The sequence below is a fragment of the Homo sapiens genome, chromosome 13 (genome assembly GCF_000001405.40).
Source record: "Homo sapiens chromosome 13, GRCh38.p14 Primary Assembly".
Lineage (NCBI taxonomy): Eukaryota > Metazoa > Chordata > Mammalia > Primates > Hominidae > Homo > Homo sapiens.
Window position 1 is genome coordinate 48,693,786 of NC_000013.11, and position 17,785 is coordinate 48,711,570.

The 17,785-nt window shown below is 38.7% G+C and overlaps 1 protein-coding gene across 11 annotated transcripts in view; it reads left to right on the top strand.

The window, feature by feature from the left end:
- The window catches only part of CYSLTR2 (cysteinyl leukotriene receptor 2), a 57,298-nt gene extending 39,857 nt beyond the window's left edge, over positions 1-17,441 (top strand). For 6 of the 11 annotated variants that reach the window (NM_001308476.3, NM_001308468.3, NM_020377.5 and 3 more), the window contains 2 exons: positions 2,741-2,841; positions 13,032-17,441. In NM_001308476.3, coding sequence (NP_001295405.1) covers positions 13,033-14,073 — 1,041 coding nt within the window. In that variant the 5' untranslated portion in view covers positions 2,741-2,841; position 13,032 and the 3' untranslated portion in view covers positions 14,074-17,441. Of the gene's footprint in view, positions 1-885; positions 1,015-2,740; positions 2,842-13,031 lie in introns of all 11 variants that reach the window. The other 5 variants (NM_001308465.3, NM_001308467.3, NM_001387014.1 and 2 more) reach the window with 2 other exon arrangements.

Here is a 17,785-nt window from a genome sequence, read left to right on the forward strand (position 1 = left end):
AAAAGGAGGGGCTATCACCAACTTTAAACAAAAGAATCACTGTTAGACAAACAGAACAATCTCCTCTTGAAGGTTTCTTCACTTTTATAAAGTGCCTCTAAAGTAAACCATCGTGTTTATATTAAAAGTTCCTCAAGGTGGCCATTGCAATTCCAGATTGTCCTTGGTGAAACTGTGCCCACTGTAGAGATAAACATGCACGTTTGTGTTACATTGCAGAAATCTCAAAGAAACAGGTATCTGGCCTGGAAGAAGTGCAGTTTTAGGTTGAGTGGAGCCCATCAGAGATGCAATGGTCTGTAAGGGTGGCACTTGTCTGACCTTGATTCTCCGATCTTGAGTCTCCAGAATTTGGGCAAAGGTCAATTGTCTACAATGAGGGCTGAGAAACGAAAAAAACAGTAGTTCTCAAGCTCACAAAGATAAGACAGAGGAAGTCCTTACAAGTATTGAAATGGTGACCTGACGCAAAGTTTATCCAAAGGCCAAAGTTTGTCTAAAGCATGTCAGTCCTGAATTCTCAGTCCCTGGAGCCAGAGGACAGACTTATGGGGACTTGGCTTGTCCTTTCCTTATGGACTTTTCCTTGTATAGACAAACAACACTTAGGACAATAGACAGATCATAGAACAGATGTTAGAGGCTAGAAAACAATATTTCCAACTGACTAGATTTGCAATAAGTTTTACAGACTAGAAAGACTCCAAGGATCTATTCCTAGGAAAACAAAATAAACACATTGCTGACAGTTCTCAACAAAATATCAGAGCCTAGCCATGAACAGGGTCCCACATGTATGCATCATTACTGAGTCAAGGGTACTTGCTTAAGGCAGCAAGGACTTTTGAAGAATCTTGTGAAACTCCATTTTTGTCAATCCTTCAGAGCCCAAGACCACCAGAAACCCTCCTGTAATGGAACAAGTTGGCTTTATTACTAATTGCAACAAGGCTTTTGAAAGCCTTCTGTCATCTTCCTGGGGATCACCTCTTCAGGTGTACAGAGACAGCATAGGTAGGTTGTGGGGGAATGGAGAGGAAGGGGAGCTTCCCTAAGTGAAAACCTAAGTGTTTTCCTAAACACAAGCACCACTGAGCAGTTTGTAGATGGAATTTTGCAATCAAAATTGCAGGGTATTCTGTTCAAGCCACACCTTTTTTTCCCCTCCATTTGGAGATAATTAAAAATTCCCATGCACATGTAAAAAAAAAATAGAAAAATCTCTTGTACCCCTTCCCGCAATGGTAACATCTTGCAAGACCATGGTATATCAGAACCTGGCATTTTTTTTTTTTTTTTTTTTTTTTTTGTCAGAGTCTCACTCCATCACCCAGGCTGGAGTGCAACTGTGTGATCACAGTTCACTTCAGCCTTGATCTCCTGGGTTCAAATGATCCTCTCATCTCAGCCTCCTGAGGAGCTGGGACTACAGGCATGCGCCACCACGCCCAGCTAATCTTTTTCATTTTCTTTTTTTTTCCTTTTCTTTTTTTCCTTCTTTCCTTCTTCTCTTTCTTCTTTCTTTCTCTCTCTTTTTCTTTTCTTTCTCTTTTTTCTCTTTCTTTCCCTTTCTTTTTCCTTTCTCTTTATTCTTTCTTTCTTTCTTTCTCTCTCTCTCTCTTTCTCTCTCTCTCTCTCATAGAGATAGGGTCTCAGGTCTCACTATGTTGCCTAGGCTCATCTCAAACTCCTGCACAGCCCAAATATTGACATTAATACAGTTATGATGTAGAACATTTTTGTCACCATAAGGATGCCTCAAACTCCACTCTTTAGCTACCTCTACTTCCCTCCAACCCCCACCACATTCTTAATCCCCGGCAATTACAAATCTGTGTTCTCCATTTCTATAATTTTGTCATTCAAGGATGTTATATAAATGGGATCACTCTGTATGATTAGTTTTTATTTTCACATAGCATAGCTCCCTAGAGATTTATTCAAGTTACCAAATGTATTAATGGTTCACTCCTTTCATTGCTGAGCAGAATTCCATGGTATGCATGTACCACTGTTTAACTATTGAAGGCTATCTGAGTTATTTCCAGTTTGGGGCTATTACAAATAAAACTGCAGTAATCACTGACTTATAGGTTTTTATGTAACCATATGTTTTCATTTCCCTGGGATAAATGCCCAGGAGTATAATTACTGGAATGCATGGTAGTTGCATGTATAGTTTTTTAGGAAACAGCCAAATTGTTTTCCAGAATGACCGTATCATTTTACACTCTCACCAGCAATGTCTGAGTGATCCAGTTTCTCTGTATTTGATGTAGTCGCTATGTTTTATTTAGCCATTCTAATAAGTATGTAGTAATACCTCACTGTGGTTTTAATTTGCATTTCCCTAATGACCAACAATGTTGAACAATTTTTTATGTGCTTATATGCTATCTGTATATCCCCTGAAATGTTTGTTTCTATCTTTTGCACATTTTCTAATTGGAGTTTTTCATTTGTTTGCTTGTTTTACTGTTGATATTCAAGAGTTCTTTATATATTCTAAATAACCCTGTTTTGATAAGTGATTTGCAAATATTCTCTCCCAGTCTGTAGCTTGTATTTTCATCCTCTTAGCAGAGTATTTTGTGGAGCAAAAATTTATCATCTTGACAAGCTCCAATTTATCAATTTTTTCTTTTATGGATCATGTTTTTGGTGTCAATTCTAAGAACTCTTTGTCAGTCCTAGATCCCAAAAATTTTTTTCCTAAAAATTTTATAATTTTACATTCTAGGGAAAACTAGGTTCCAAGATGGCTGAATAGGAAGAGCTCCAATCTGCAGATCCCAGTGTGAGCAACGTGGAAGACGGGTGATTTCTGCATTTCCAACTGAGGTACTGGGTTCATCTCACTGGGGCTTGTCAGACAGTGGGTGCAGCCCATGGAGCAGGGCGGAGCATCGCGTCACCCAGGAAGCACAAGGGGTCAGGGAATTCCCTTTCCTAGCAAAGGGAAGCCATGACAGATGGTACCTGGAAAATTGGGACACTCCCACCCTAATACTGTGCTTTTCCAACTGCCTTAGCAAACGGCACACCAGGAGATTATATCCCGCACATGGCTCGGAGGGTCCCACGCCCGGCTCGGAGGGTCCCACGCCCACGGAGCCTCGCTCACTGCTAGCATAACAGTCTGAGATTGAACTGCAAGGTGGCAGCCAGGCTTGGGGAGGGGCATCCACCATTGCTGAGGCTTGAGTAGGTAAACAAAGCAGTTGGGAAGCTCTAACTGGGTGGAGCCCACCACAGCTCAAGGAGGCCTGTCTGCCTTTGTAGACTCCACCTCTGGGGGCAGGGCATAGCTGAACAAAAGGCAGCAGAAACTTCTGCAGACTTAAACGTCCCTGTCTGACAGCTTTGAAGAGAGTAGTACTTCTCCCAGCACGGAGTTTGAGATCTGAGAATGGACAGACTGCCTCCTCAAGTGGGTCCCTGACCCCCGAGTAGCCTAACTGGGAAAAACCTCCCAGTAGGGGCCGACTGACACCTCATACAGCTGGGTGACCCTCTGAGATGAAGCTTCCAGAGGAAGGATCAGGCAGCAACATTTGCCGTTCTTCTATATTTGCTGTTCTGCCGCTTCCACTGGTGATACTCAGGCAAACAGGGTCTGGAGTGGACCTCCAGCAAATTCCAACAGACCTGCAGCTGAGGGTCCTGACTGTTAGAAGGAAAACTAACAAACAGAAAGGACATCCACACCAATACCCCATCTGTACGTCACCATCATAAAAGACCAAAGGTAGATAAAACCACAAAGATGGGGAGAAACCAGAGCAGAAAAGCTGAAAATTCTAAAAATCAGAGCGCCTCTTCTCCTCCAAAGGAATGCAGCTCCTTGCCAGCAACGGAACAAAGCTGGACGGAGAATGACTTTGAAGAGTTGAGAGAAGAAGGCTTTAGACCATTGGTAATAACAAACTTCTCCAAGTTAAAGGAGGATGTTCTAACCCATCACAAAGAAGCTAAAAACCTTGAAAAAAGATTAGACAAATAGCTAACTAGAATAAACTGTGTAGAGAAGTCCTTAAATGACCTGATGGAGCTGAAAACCACAGCACAAGAACTATGTGACGCATGCACAAGCTTCAGTAGCTGATTTGATCAAGTGGAAGAAAGGTTATCAGTGATTTAAGATCAAATGAGTGAAATGAAGCAAGAAGAGAAGCATAGAGAGAAAAAAGTAAAAAGAAATGAAAAAAGCCTCCAAGAAATATGGGAGGACTATGTGAAAAGACCAAAACTACGTCTGATTGGTGTACCTGCAAGTGACGGGGAGAATGGAACCAAGTTGGAAAACACTCTTCAGGATATTATCCAGGAGAACTTCCCCAACCTAGCGAGGCAGGCCAACATTGAAATTCAGGAAATACAGAGAACACCACTAAGATACTCCTCGAGAAGAGCAACTCCAAGACACATAATTGTCAGATTCACCAAAGTTGAAATGAAGGAAAAAATGTTAAAGGCACCCAGAGAGAAAGGTAGGGTTACCCACAAAGGGAAGCCCATCAGACTAACAGCAGATCCCTTGGCAGAAACTCTACAAGCCAGAAGAGAGTGGGGGCCAATTTTCAACATTCTTAAAGAAAAGAATTTTCAACCCAGAATTTCATATCCAGCCAAACTAAGCTTCATAAGTGAAGGAGAAATAAAATCCTTTACAGACAAGCAAATGCTGAGAGATTTTGTCACCACCAAGCCTGCCTTACAAGAGCTCCTGAAGGAAGCACTAAACATGGAAAGGAACAACCAGTTCCAGCCACTGCAAAAACATGCCAAATTGTAAAGACCATCAATGCTAGGAAGAAACTGCATCAACTAACAAGCAAAATAACCAGCTAACATCATAATAACAAGATCAAATTCACACATAACAATATTAACCTCAAATGTAAATGGGCTAAGTGCTCTAATTAAAAGACACAGACTGGCAAATCAGATAAAGAGTCAAGACCCATCAGCGTGCTGTATTCAGGAGACCCACCTCACATGCAGAAACACACATAGGCTCAAAATAAAGGGATGGAGGAAGATCTACCAAGCAAATGGAAAACAAAAAAAAGCAGGGGTTGCAATCCTAGTCTCTGATAAAGCAGACTTTAAACCAACAAAGATCAAAAGAGACAAAGAAGGCTGCTACATAATGGTAAAGGGATCGACTCAACAAGAAGAGCTAACTATCCTAAATATATATGCACCCAATACAGGAGCACCCAGATTCATAAAGCAAGTCCTTAGAGACCTACAAAGAGACTTAGACTCCCACACAATAATAATGGGAGACTTTAACACCCCACTGTCAACATTAGACAGATCAACAAGACAGAAAGTTAACCAGGATATCCAGGAGTTGAACTCAGCTCTGCGCAAAGTGAACCTAATAGACATCTACAGAACTCTCCACCCCAAGTCAACAGAATATACATTCTTCTCAGCACCACATCACACTTATTCCAAAGTTTACCACATAGTTGGAAGTAAAGCACTCCTCAGCAAATATAAAAGAACAGAAATTATAACAAACTGTCTCTCAGACCACAGTGCAATCAAACTAGAATTCAGGGTTAAACTTACTCAAAACTTCGCAACTACGTGGAAACTGAACAATCTGTTCCTGAATGACTACTGGGTACATAACAAAATGAAGGCAGAAATAAAGATGTTCTTTGAAACCAATGAGAGCAAAGACACAACACACCAGAATCTCTGGGACAATTTAAAGCAGTGTGTAGAGGGAAATTTATAGCACTAAATGCACACAAGAGAAGGCAGGAAAGATCTAAAATTTACACCCTAACATCACAATTAAAAGAACTAGAGATGCAAGAGCAAACACATTCAAAAGCTAGCAGAAGGCAAGAAATAACTAAGATCAAAGTAAAACTGAAGGAAATAGAGACACAAAAACCCTTAAAAAAAATCAATGAATCCAGGAGCTGGCTTTTTGAAAAGATCAACAAAATTGATAGACTGCTAGCAAGACTAATAAAGAAGAAAAGAGAGAAGAATCAAATAGATGCAATAAAAAATAATAAAGGGGATATCACCACTGATCCAACAGAAATACAAACTACCATCAGAGAATACTATACACACCTCTAAGCAAATAAACTAGAAAATCTAGAAGAAATGGATAAATTCCTGGACACATATACCCTCCCAAGACTAAATCAGAAAGAAGTTGAATCCCTGAATAGACCAATAACAGGTTCTGAAATTGAGGGAATAATTAATATCCTACCAACCAAAAAAAGTCCAGGACCAGATGGATTCACAGCCGAATTCTACCAGAGGTACAAAGAGGAGCTGGTACCATTCCTTCTGAAACTATTCCAATCAATAGAAAAAGAGGGAATCCTCCCTAATTCATTTTATGAGGCCAACATCATCCTGATACCAAAGCCTGGCAGAGACACAACAACAAAAGAGAATTTTAGACTGATGTCCTTCATGAACATTGATGCAAAAATCCTAAATAAAATACTGGCAAACCAAATCCAGCAGCACATCAAAAAGCTTATCCACCACGATCAAGTTGGCTTCATCCCTGGGATGCAAGGCTGGTTCAACATATGCAAATCAATAAACGTAATCCATCATGTAAACAGAACCAAAGACAAAAACCACATGATTATCTCCATAGATGCAGAAAAGGCCTTCAACAAAATTCAACAACCCTTCATGCTAAAAAGTGTCAATAAACTAGGTATTTGGACGTATCTCAAAATAATAAGAGCTATTTATGACAAACCCACAGCCAATATCATACTGAATGGGCAAAAATTGGAAGCATTCCCTTTGAAAACTGGCACAAGACAGGGATGCCCTCTCTCACCACTCCTATTCAACATAGTGTTGGACGTTCTGGCCAGGGCAATCAGGCAAGAGAAAGAAATAAAGGGTATTAAATTAGGAAAAGAGGAAGTCAAATTGTCACTGTTTGCAGATGACATTTAGAAAACCCCATCGTCTCAGCCCAAAATCTCCTTAAGCTGATAAGCAACTTCAGCAAAGTCTCAGGACACAAAATCAAGTGCAAAAATCACAAGCATTCCTATATGCTAATAACAGACAAACAAAGAGCCAAATCATGAATGAACTCCCATTCACAATTGCTTCAAAGAGAATAAAATACCTAGGAATCCAACTTACAAGGGATGTGAAGGGCCTCTTCAAGGAGAACTACAAACCACTGCTCAATGAAATAAAAGAGGACACAAACAAATGGAAGAACATTCAATATTGTGAAAATGGCCATACTGCCCAAGGTAATTTATAGATCAATGCCATCCCCATCAAGCTACCAATGACTTTCTTCACAGAATTGGAAAAAACTACTTTAAAGTTCAAATGGAACCAAAAAAGAGCCCGCATTGCCAAGACAATCCTAAGCCGAAAGAACAAGGCTGGAGGCATCATGCTACCTGACTTCAAGCTATACTACAAGGCTACAGTAACCAAAACATCACGGTACTGGTACCAAAACAGAGATATAGACCAATGGAACAGAATAGAGCCTCCAGAAGTAATACCATACATCTACAAGCATCTCAACTTTGACAAACCTGACAAAAACAAGCAATGGGGAAAGGATTCCCTATTTAATAAATGGTGCTGGGAAAACTGGCTAGCCATATGTAGAAAGCTGAAACTGGATCTCTTCCTTACACCTTACACAAAAATTAATTCAAGAAAGATCAAAGACTTAAATGTAAAACCTAAAATCTGGCTAATATCCAGAAGCTACAAAGAACTTAAACAAATTTACAAGAAAAATCAAACAACCCCATCAAAAAGTGGGCAAAGGATATGAACAGACACTTCTCAAAAGAAGACATTTATGCAACCAACAGACACATGAAAAAATGCTCATCATCACTGGCCATCAGAGGAATGCAAATCAAAACCACAATGAGATACCATCTCACACCAGTTAGAATGGCAATCATTAAAAAGTCAGGAAACAACAGGTACTGGAGAGGATGTGGAGAAATAGGAACGCTTTTACACTGTTGGTGGGACTGTAAACTAGTTCAACCATTGTGGAAGAGAGTGTGCCAATTCCTCAAGGATCTAGAACTAGAAATACCATTTGACCCAGCCATCCCATTACTGGGCATATACCCAAAGGATTATAAATCATGCTACTATAGAGACACATGCACACGTATGTTTATTGTGGCACTATTCACAATAGCAAAGACTTGGAACCAACCCAAATGTCCATCAATGATAGACTGGATTAAGAAAATGTGACACATATACACCATGGAATACTATGCAGCCATAAAAAAGGATGAGTTCATGTCCTTTGTAGGGACATGAATGACCTGGAAACCATCATTCTGAGCAAACTATCGCAAGGACAGAAAACCAAACACTGCATGTTCTCACTCATAGGTGGGAATTGAACAATGAGAACACTTGGACACAGGGTGGGGAACATCACACACCGGCGTCTGTCATGGGGTGGGGGGAGGGGGAGGGATAGCATTAGGAGATATACCTAATGTAAATGAGTAGTTAATGGGTGCAGCACACCAACATGGCACATGTATACATATGTAACAAAACTGCACGTTGTGCACACGTACCCTAGAACTTAAAGTAAAATAATAATAATAATAAAAACTTTACATTCTACATGAAGTCCATGCTGCATTTTAGTTAATTTTTGTATAAGGTGTGAGATTTAGTTCAAGGTTTGTTTTTTTGCCTATGGCTATCCAATTGCTCCAGTGCCTCTGAAAAGCCTATCTTTCCTCCACTGTATTGTTTTTGCACTTCTGTAAACAATTAAGTTGGGCATAGTTATGTGGGTCTGTTTCTGGGTTTCTATTCTTTTCTGTTGATCTATCTGTTTGTCCTTCAGCCAATACCATACATTCTTAATTACTTTAACTATAAAATAAGTCTTGAAATTAGATGGACTGATTCTTCCCACTTCAATCTTCTTTTTCAAAGTGTTTTTGCTGTTCTAGTTCCTCTGCCTTGTCATTTAAGATTTAGAATAATCCTATCTATATCTACAAAAAAACTTACAAGGATTTTACTGGGAATTTCATAATTTTGTATATAAATCTGGGGAGAATTGACATCTTTATTCCATTGTCTTCTAATCTATGACATGGCATGTTTCTCCATTTCTTTAAAACTTTGATTTCTTTCACCAATAATTTGTAGTTTTCAGCATGCAAGTCCTGTACATGTCTTGTGAGATTTACACCTGTCTTTCATTTTAATTTTTATTGAATATAAATAGTATTGCATTTTAACTCCAGTGTGCTCATATGTGTATTACTAGTTTATAAAATATAATATATTTTCTGTTTATTTTGTATTCTGCCACTTTGTTAAATTCACTTATTAGCTCTATGAGATTTTTGTTTTCTTTGTGTGTGTGCACGTATGTGTATGTTTGTAGGTCTCTTGGGGTTTTCTATGTAACTATGTCATCTACAGATAGGAAGCATTTTATCTCTTCCTTTCTAATCTATATGATATTTATTTCCTTTTTGTGTTTTTGCCTCATTTCACTGGTTAGAACTTATAGCACTATGTTGAATAAGACAGTGAGAATGGGCATCCTTGCATTGCTCCTGATCTTATGGGGGAGACACTCAGTCTTTTACTATGAAGTATAATGTTATCTGTAGGTTTTTTGTATATGCTCTTTATCAAGTTGAGGAAGTTCCTCTTTACTGCTATATTTCTGAGAGTTTTGATTGTGAATGGATATTGAATTTTGTCATGCACTTTTAAAAATATTAATTGATATGATTACTTGGTCATGGTATAATTCTTTTCATATATTGCTAAATTTTATTTGATGGTATTTTGCTAAGAGTATTTTGCACCTACATTCACAGGGGATATTCATCCATAGTCTTTTGTTTTGTTCTGTATTAACTTTGCCTCGTTTTGGTATCAGGGTAATACTTAGCTTCAATAAAATAAATTGGGAAATACCTTTCTCTTCTATTTTCTGGAAGACACTGTATGGAATTGGTGTTAATTCTTATTTAAATAGTTGGCAGAATTCTCCAGTGAAGCCATCTGGATCTGGAGGTTTCTTTTTTGAGAGTTTTTCAATTGAGAATTTAATTTCCTTAATAGTTATGGGGATATTCAAATTATCTATTTAATGTTCGGTGAGTTATTTTTCATTTTATGAGGAATTAGTCTAGTTCCTCTAAGTTGTGAAACTTATGTTTGTAGGGTTATTCAAAGCATTTTCTCATTATCCTTTTGATGCCTCAGGTATCTATCGATAGTGTTATCTCCTGTTTTATTCCTGACAATGGAAATTTATGTCTGTTCTACTTTTTTTTCGTACCTCTTGCTAGAGATTTGTCAATTGTATCAGGAGATGTAACATTTTATTTAATATATGCAAATTTTAATTCATTATTGACTTTGTCTATTCTGCTACTATAAGAAAGTTACCTGGCCAGGCATGGTGGCCCACGCCTATAATCTCACGGTTTGAAGGCCAAGGTGGGAGGATCACTTGAGCTCAGAAGTTCAAGACCAGCCTGTGCAACATGGAGATACAGCATCTCTACAAAAAAGAAAAAATAGCTGGGCATGGTGGCATGCACCTGCAATCGATTGTATTGACTTTTTTCAAATAACCAGTTTTTCATTTCATTTTTTTCTCTATTTTTTTCTGTTTTCAATTTCTTGATTTCTGCTCTTTACTATCTCCTTCCTTTTGCTTGCTTTTTTTTTTTCTTGAGGATGGAGCTTATATTCTTATTTCGTGACTTTTCCTTTTTGTAATGTATGAATTTAGTGTTATACAGTTTTGTCCTAATACTGCATTTGCTACATCTCACAAATTTATATTTTCACTTTTATTCAGTTTAATATATTTTTTGTTTCCCTTGAGATTTCCTTTTTGACCCATGGATTATTCAGAAGTGTGTTGTTTAGTTTTCAAGTGTTTTGAGGGTTTCCTGTTATCTTGCTGCTGTTGATTTCTAGTTTGATTCCCTTGTAGTTAGAGAACACATTCTATATTATTTCAATTATTTGAAATCTATCGAGGTTTGTTTTATGTCCCAGGATGTGGTTTATCTTGGTATAAGTTTTGTGAACACATAAAAGCATAAGTATTCTGCTTTTGTTGGGTGAAGTGTTTTATACATGTCAATTTGATCCTGTTGGTTGATGGTGTTTTTAGTTTTTCTATACCTTTGCTGAGTTTTTGTCTATTTGCTTCATCAATTGCTGAGAGAGGTCCTTGAAGTCACTAAATATCTCTCCTTTCAGTTTTATCAGTTTTGCTTCAGTTTTGCAACTCTGTTGTTTGGCGCATACCCATTTAGAATTGGTACGTCTTCTTAGTGGTTAAACCCTGTTATTTTTATATAGTGTCCCTCACTGTCTCTGGCAATGTCATTTGCTTTGAAGTCCATTTTAGTTAATACTGAAAGAGCCATTCCTTATTTCCTTTGATTTGAATAACATGCATTTTTCCATCCTTTTACTTTCAACCAGCCAATACTGCTATTTGAAGTGTTTGTTATAGGCGGTACATAATTCGGTCATTTAAAAAATATATTCCATTCCTCTATCTTTTAATTGGTATATTTAGACTACTTATATTTAATGTAATTATTGATGAATGAGGGATGTCTGCCATTTTATTTTTTTTCTGTTTTTATTATCTGTTTTCTTTTTCCTGCCTTGTTGTTGGTTATCTGAACACTTTTTAGAATTCCATTTTTATTTATCTGTAATGTTTTTGAGTGTATCCCTTTGTATATCATTTTAGTGGAAGCTCTAGGTATTTCTCTCTATATATATAATATATATGTATATAAAGATATACATATATATATATCTTATGATAGTCTATTAGCATCATCATTCTACCAGTTCAAGTGAAGTATAGAAAACTTCTTATTTCCTCTTATGTCTCTTTGCCTTCCCTCATTTATAATATAACTATCTCAATAATTCCTCTACATCCATTTAAAACCACATCAGGCAGCATTAATGTTTTTGTTTCAAAACATTAAATGTAACTTAGACTCTAAAAGGGAAGGACAGCCTATTGTATTTACACATATTTTGGCTTACCATGTTCTTTCTTATTTTCTAATATTCTAAGTTTCCTTCTTTTATAAATTCCTTTCTGTTTAGAGAACTTCCTTTAGTCATTCTTTGTTTGTTTGTTTTTTGTTTTGTTTTGTTGTTGTTTTTTTTTTTTTTGAGATGGAGTTTCGCTCTTGTTGCCCCAGCTGGAGTGCAATGGCATGATCTCGGCTCATTGCAACTTCTGCCTCCCAGGTTCAGGCAATTCTCCTGCCTCAGCCTCCCGGGTAGCAGAGGTGACAGGTGCCTGCCACTGGGCCCGCTAATTTTTGTATTTTTAGTAGAGACGGAGTTTCACCATGTTGGCCAGACTGGTCTTGAACTCCTGACCTCAGGTGATCTGCCAGCCTCAGCTTCCCAAACTGCTGGGATTACGGGCGTGAGCCACCAAACCCAGCCTAGTCATTCTTTTAAGATAGGTCTGCTGGCAGCAAAGTCTTAGTTTTCCGTCTGAAAAAGTCTTGATTTTTCTCTTTGTACTTGAAGGATATTTTTGCTGGACATAGAATACTAGTTTGGCAGGTCTTTTCTTTCAGCATTTGAGAAATGTGCCATTTCTTTCTGTCCTCCATAGTTTCTGATGAGAAATCTGCTATTCAGTAGTTTTAGGCTGCAATATCATAGTAAGGTATTCATGTCAACAGGGTCAGTAGGTCACAAGTTCTCTAAGTTTGAAGCGTCAGCTTCAACCAAACAAATTAATGGCTATTCTACATTCAAAAATCAGGAAATTTAAATTTATTATGAAATGTAATGCAGCATGTAGTAAAGACTTAACCAGTGTTTTAAAACTCAACTTTCAAAGAAAAGATAGTATTGCTCCCTGTTTCATTAAAACCTAGAGAGATGTAATCAGTAAGCAAGAAGGAAAAAGGGAAATTCACAAAGTAACTTTTTGTGTCTGTTTCTTTTTAACCCAGCATGGAGAGAAAATTTATGTCCTTGCAACCATCCATCTCCGTATCAGAAATGGAACCAAATGGCACCTTCAGCAATAACAACAGCAGGAACTGCACAATTGAAAACTTCAAGAGAGAATTTTTCCCAATTGTATATCTGATAATATTTTTCTGGGGAGTCTTGGGAAATGGGTTGTCCATATATGTTTTCCTGCAGCCTTATAAGAAGTCCACATCTGTGAACGTTTTCATGCTAAATCTGGCCATTTCAGATCTCCTGTTCATAAGCACGCTTCCCTTCAGGGCTGACTATTATCTTAGAGGCTCCAATTGGATATTTGGAGACCTGGCCTGCAGGATTATGTCTTATTCCTTGTATGTCAACATGTACAGCAGTATTTATTTCCTGACCGTGCTGAGTGTTGTGCGTTTCCTGGCAATGGTTCACCCCTTTCGGCTTCTGCATGTCACCAGCATCAGGAGTGCCTGGATCCTCTGTGGGATCATATGGATCCTTATCATGGCTTCCTCAATAATGCTCCTGGACAGTGGCTCTGAGCAGAACGGCAGTGTCACATCATGCTTAGAGCTGAATCTCTATAAAATTGCTAAGCTGCAGACCATGAACTATATTGCCTTGGTGGTGGGCTGCCTGCTGCCATTTTTCACACTCAGCATCTGTTATCTGCTGATCATTCGGGTTCTGTTAAAAGTGGAGGTCCCAGAATCGGGGCTGCGGGTTTCTCACAGGAAGGCACTGACCACCATCATCATCACCTTGATCATCTTCTTCTTGTGTTTCCTGCCCTATCACACACTGAGGACCGTCCACTTGACGACATGGAAAGTGGGTTTATGCAAAGACAGACTGCATAAAGCTTTGGTTATCACACTGGCCTTGGCAGCAGCCAATGCCTGCTTCAATCCTCTGCTCTATTACTTTGCTGGGGAGAATTTTAAGGACAGACTAAAGTCTGCACTCAGAAAAGGCCATCCACAGAAGGCAAAGACAAAGTGTGTTTTCCCTGTTAGTGTGTGGTTGAGAAAGGAAACAAGAGTATAAGGAGCTCTTAGATGAGACCTGTTCTTGTATCCTTGTGTCCATCTTCATTCACTCATAGTCTCCAAATGACTTTGTATTTACATCACTCCCAACAAATGTTGATTCTTAATATTTAGTTGACCATTACTTTTGTTAATAAGACCTACTTCAAAAATTTTATTCAGTGTATTTTCAGTTGTTGAGTCTTAATGAGGGATACAGGAGGAAAAATCCCTACTAGAGTCCTGTGGGCTGAAATATCAGACTGGGAAAAAATGCAAAGCACATTGGATCCTACTTTTCTTCAGATATTGAACCAGATCTCTGGCCCATCAGGCTTTCTAAATTCTTCAAAAGAGCCACAACTTCCCCAGCTTCTCCAGCTCCCCTGTCCTCTTCAATCCCTTGAGATATAGCCAACTAACGACGCTACTGGAAGCCCCAGAGCAGAAAAGAAGCACATCCTAAGATTCAGGGAAAGACTAACTGTGAAAAGGAAGGCTGTCCTATAACAAAGCAGCATCAAGTCCCAAGTAAGGACAGTGAGAGAAAAGGGGGAGAAGGATTGGAGCAAAAGAGAACTGGCAATAAGTAGGGGAAGGAAGAATTTCATTTTGCATTGGGAGAGAGGTTCTAACACACTGAAGGCAACCCTATTTCTACTGTTTCTCTCTTGCCAGGGTATTAGGAAGGACAGGAAAAGTAGGAGGAGGATCTGGGGCATTGCCCTAGGAAATGAAAGAATTGTGTATAGAATGGAAGGGGGATCATCAAGGACATGTATCTCAAATTTTCTTTGAGATGCAGGTTAGTTGACCTTGCTGCAGTTCTCCTTCCCATTAATTCATTGGGATGGAAGCCAAAAATAAAAGAGGTGCCTCTGAGGATTAGGGTTGAGCACTCAAGGGAAAGATGGAGTAGAGGGCAAATAGCAAAAGTTGTTGCACTCCTGAAATTCTATTAACATTTCCGCAGAAGATGAGTAGGGAGATGCTGCCTTCCCTTTTGAGATAGTGTAGAAAAACACTAGATAGTGTGAGAGGTTCCTTTCTGTCCACTGAAACAAGGCTAAGGATACTACCAACTACTATCACCATGACCATTGTACTGACAACAATTGAATGCAGTCTCCCTGCAGGGCAGATTATGCCAGGCACTTTACATTTGTTGATCCCATTTGACATTCACACCAAAGCTCTGAGTTCCATTTTACAGCTGAAGAAATTGAAGCTTAGAGAAATTAAGAAGCTTGTTTAAGTTTACACAGCTAGTAAGAGTTTTAAAAATCTCTGTGCAGAAGTGTTGGCTGGGTGCTCTCCCCACCACTACCCTTGTAAACTTCCAGGAAGATTGGTTGAAAGTCTGAATAAAAGCTGTCCTTTCCTACCAATTTCCTCCCCCTCCTCACTCTCACAAGAAAACCAAAAGTTTCTCTTCAGAGTTGTTGACTCATAGTACAGTAAAGGGTGGAGGTGATATGGCATTCTGAAAGTAGGGAGGGACTAAGTCAGTCATCATACTAAACAAAAATCCCAGTACCCTTTCCTTATTTAGCTACCAGAATGATGACAGACAGACTCAAACCCTGTCAAGACAGGACCCTGGAGGATCCTCCTATGGGGAAACTGCATAATCTGAAAAAAAGGCTGACAGATACAAATAGTTGAGGATCCTTCAACACAAAAGCTGCGTGTCTGCCCTATTACTCACCTGACGATGAAGCCCACAATGCAACAAATCCCTTCCACTCACAGCATTTGGTCAACCTGTCAGAGCCTCATTCTTAATTATGAAAAGTAGTCAATGAACACAATACATTTGAGGGAAAGGCCGTAACATGAAAGGCACCAACAAATAAATGTGAGAGTAGATAGAGACCTTTTGAGTATAAAAGATCCTCCAAAATAAGAGATTAAACCAAGATAGAGGAAAACACAGTAGCTGGGAAACAAGGAATCCAACGCAGGAGAAAGTGAAGAGAATTCCCAGGATGTTGGTGTGTAGCAGGCTTAGAAAGCAAGTCATTCATGTTGGAGCAGGACTCTTAAAGGACTCTAGGAGAGATGTCTCCCAGAAAAAGAAGAAATTAATTGATTCATACACATTGAGAGGGATTTAGATTTCTCTTGCAGAGATTGAGATAAACTAGTCGTAAATACATAGAAAAATAAGCAAGTAAAAACGCAATACAGTTTTTAAGTGCTAGAGGAAAAGAAACTTTTGTATTAGAGAGGAAATATAACCACAGTACACTACATGGCTCAGCTGTGAATAATATTTACATAGAGGATAATGTGAATATAATAGTCTCCCATTATCTGTGGTTTTGCTTTCTGCAGTTCAGTTACAGCCAGCCAGTCTGAAAATATTAAATGGAAAATTCCAGAAATAATTCTTAAGTTTTAAAACATGTGCTGTTTTGAGTAGCATGTTGAAATCTCGCACTATCACCCTCCACCCATGTTCTGGGCAGGGCAAAGTGGGATGGTGTGAGATTTCTCCAGTGGATCCACAATGTATATGCTACCCACCCATGAGTCACTTAGTCATCATCCAGTTGCTCAGATCAACTGTTGTGGTATAACAGTGCTTGTGTTAAAGTCACTCTTATTTTACTTACTAATGTCCCCAAAGCATAAGAGTAGTGATGCTGGCAAATAAGATACACCAAAGAGAAGCTGTAAAGTGCTTCCTCTAACAGAAAATGTGAAAGTTCTTGACTTAATAAGGAAAGAAAAAAAACACATGCTGAAGTTGCTAAGATCTACAGTAAGAACAAATCCATCTGTAAAATTGTGAAGAAGGCAAAAGAAATTTGTGCTAGTTTTGCTGTTGCACCACAAGCTGCAAAAATTATTTATTACACCCCACGGTGTGTGATAAACACTTAGTTAAGATGAAAAGGTATTAAATTTGTGGGTGGAAGACATGAACAGAAATGTGTTCCAATTGACAGCAATCGGGTTTGGTACTATTTGGGTTTGGTGCTATTCGTATTCAGGGTCTTGGAATGCAACTCCCACAGATAAGGGGGTGCTGCTGGAGTGAAATACTGTGATATAACCTTTTTTTCAGGAAATGAAGGGAGAAGATGTGTACGTGTGTGGGAGAGGTATAAGAGACCTAGGTTGCCATATTCTATCACAGAAAATGCATAATAACTAAATCTGGAAAATGATGAATAGCTGTACAACCATATTATTTAGCAATAGGAGGTAAATACAGGTAGAAGCAGAAGAAAGAATGGGCAGGGGTTACCTCTATGGAGAAGCTGGGGTGGGAGGATAGGGTGGGGACTTATTTTACGAACTGTGTAATTGCCTAACTTGTGAATATGTATTTCTGAAGTAAAATAAAAATTAAGTTAAAATTAAATTTTAAAATTCAAACTAATTCTGAGTTGTTTTTTAAAACAAAAACAAAAAAAGACAAGAAAGCCCATCAGAAATGGAAACTGAACATTGACAGAAGAAAGGAAAGCAGGAAAGGACCAGAGTTGTATTTCAGTTCTTGAGAGAAGCCCATCTAGTCCTGCCATGGGAGGCAAGTCCTTTCTTGGGGTGAGGAAAGTCACTTTCTGGGGTTAGAGAGATTTTGATATGTTACTTGGGATATTTTTAGTTGCAAGTAACAGAAAACCCTACCCCAAGTGGCTTACATAATAAAGGGATTTGATTATCTCATATAACTGAAATATACCGAGGGAAGTTGGACTTCAGGCCTTGTTCAACCA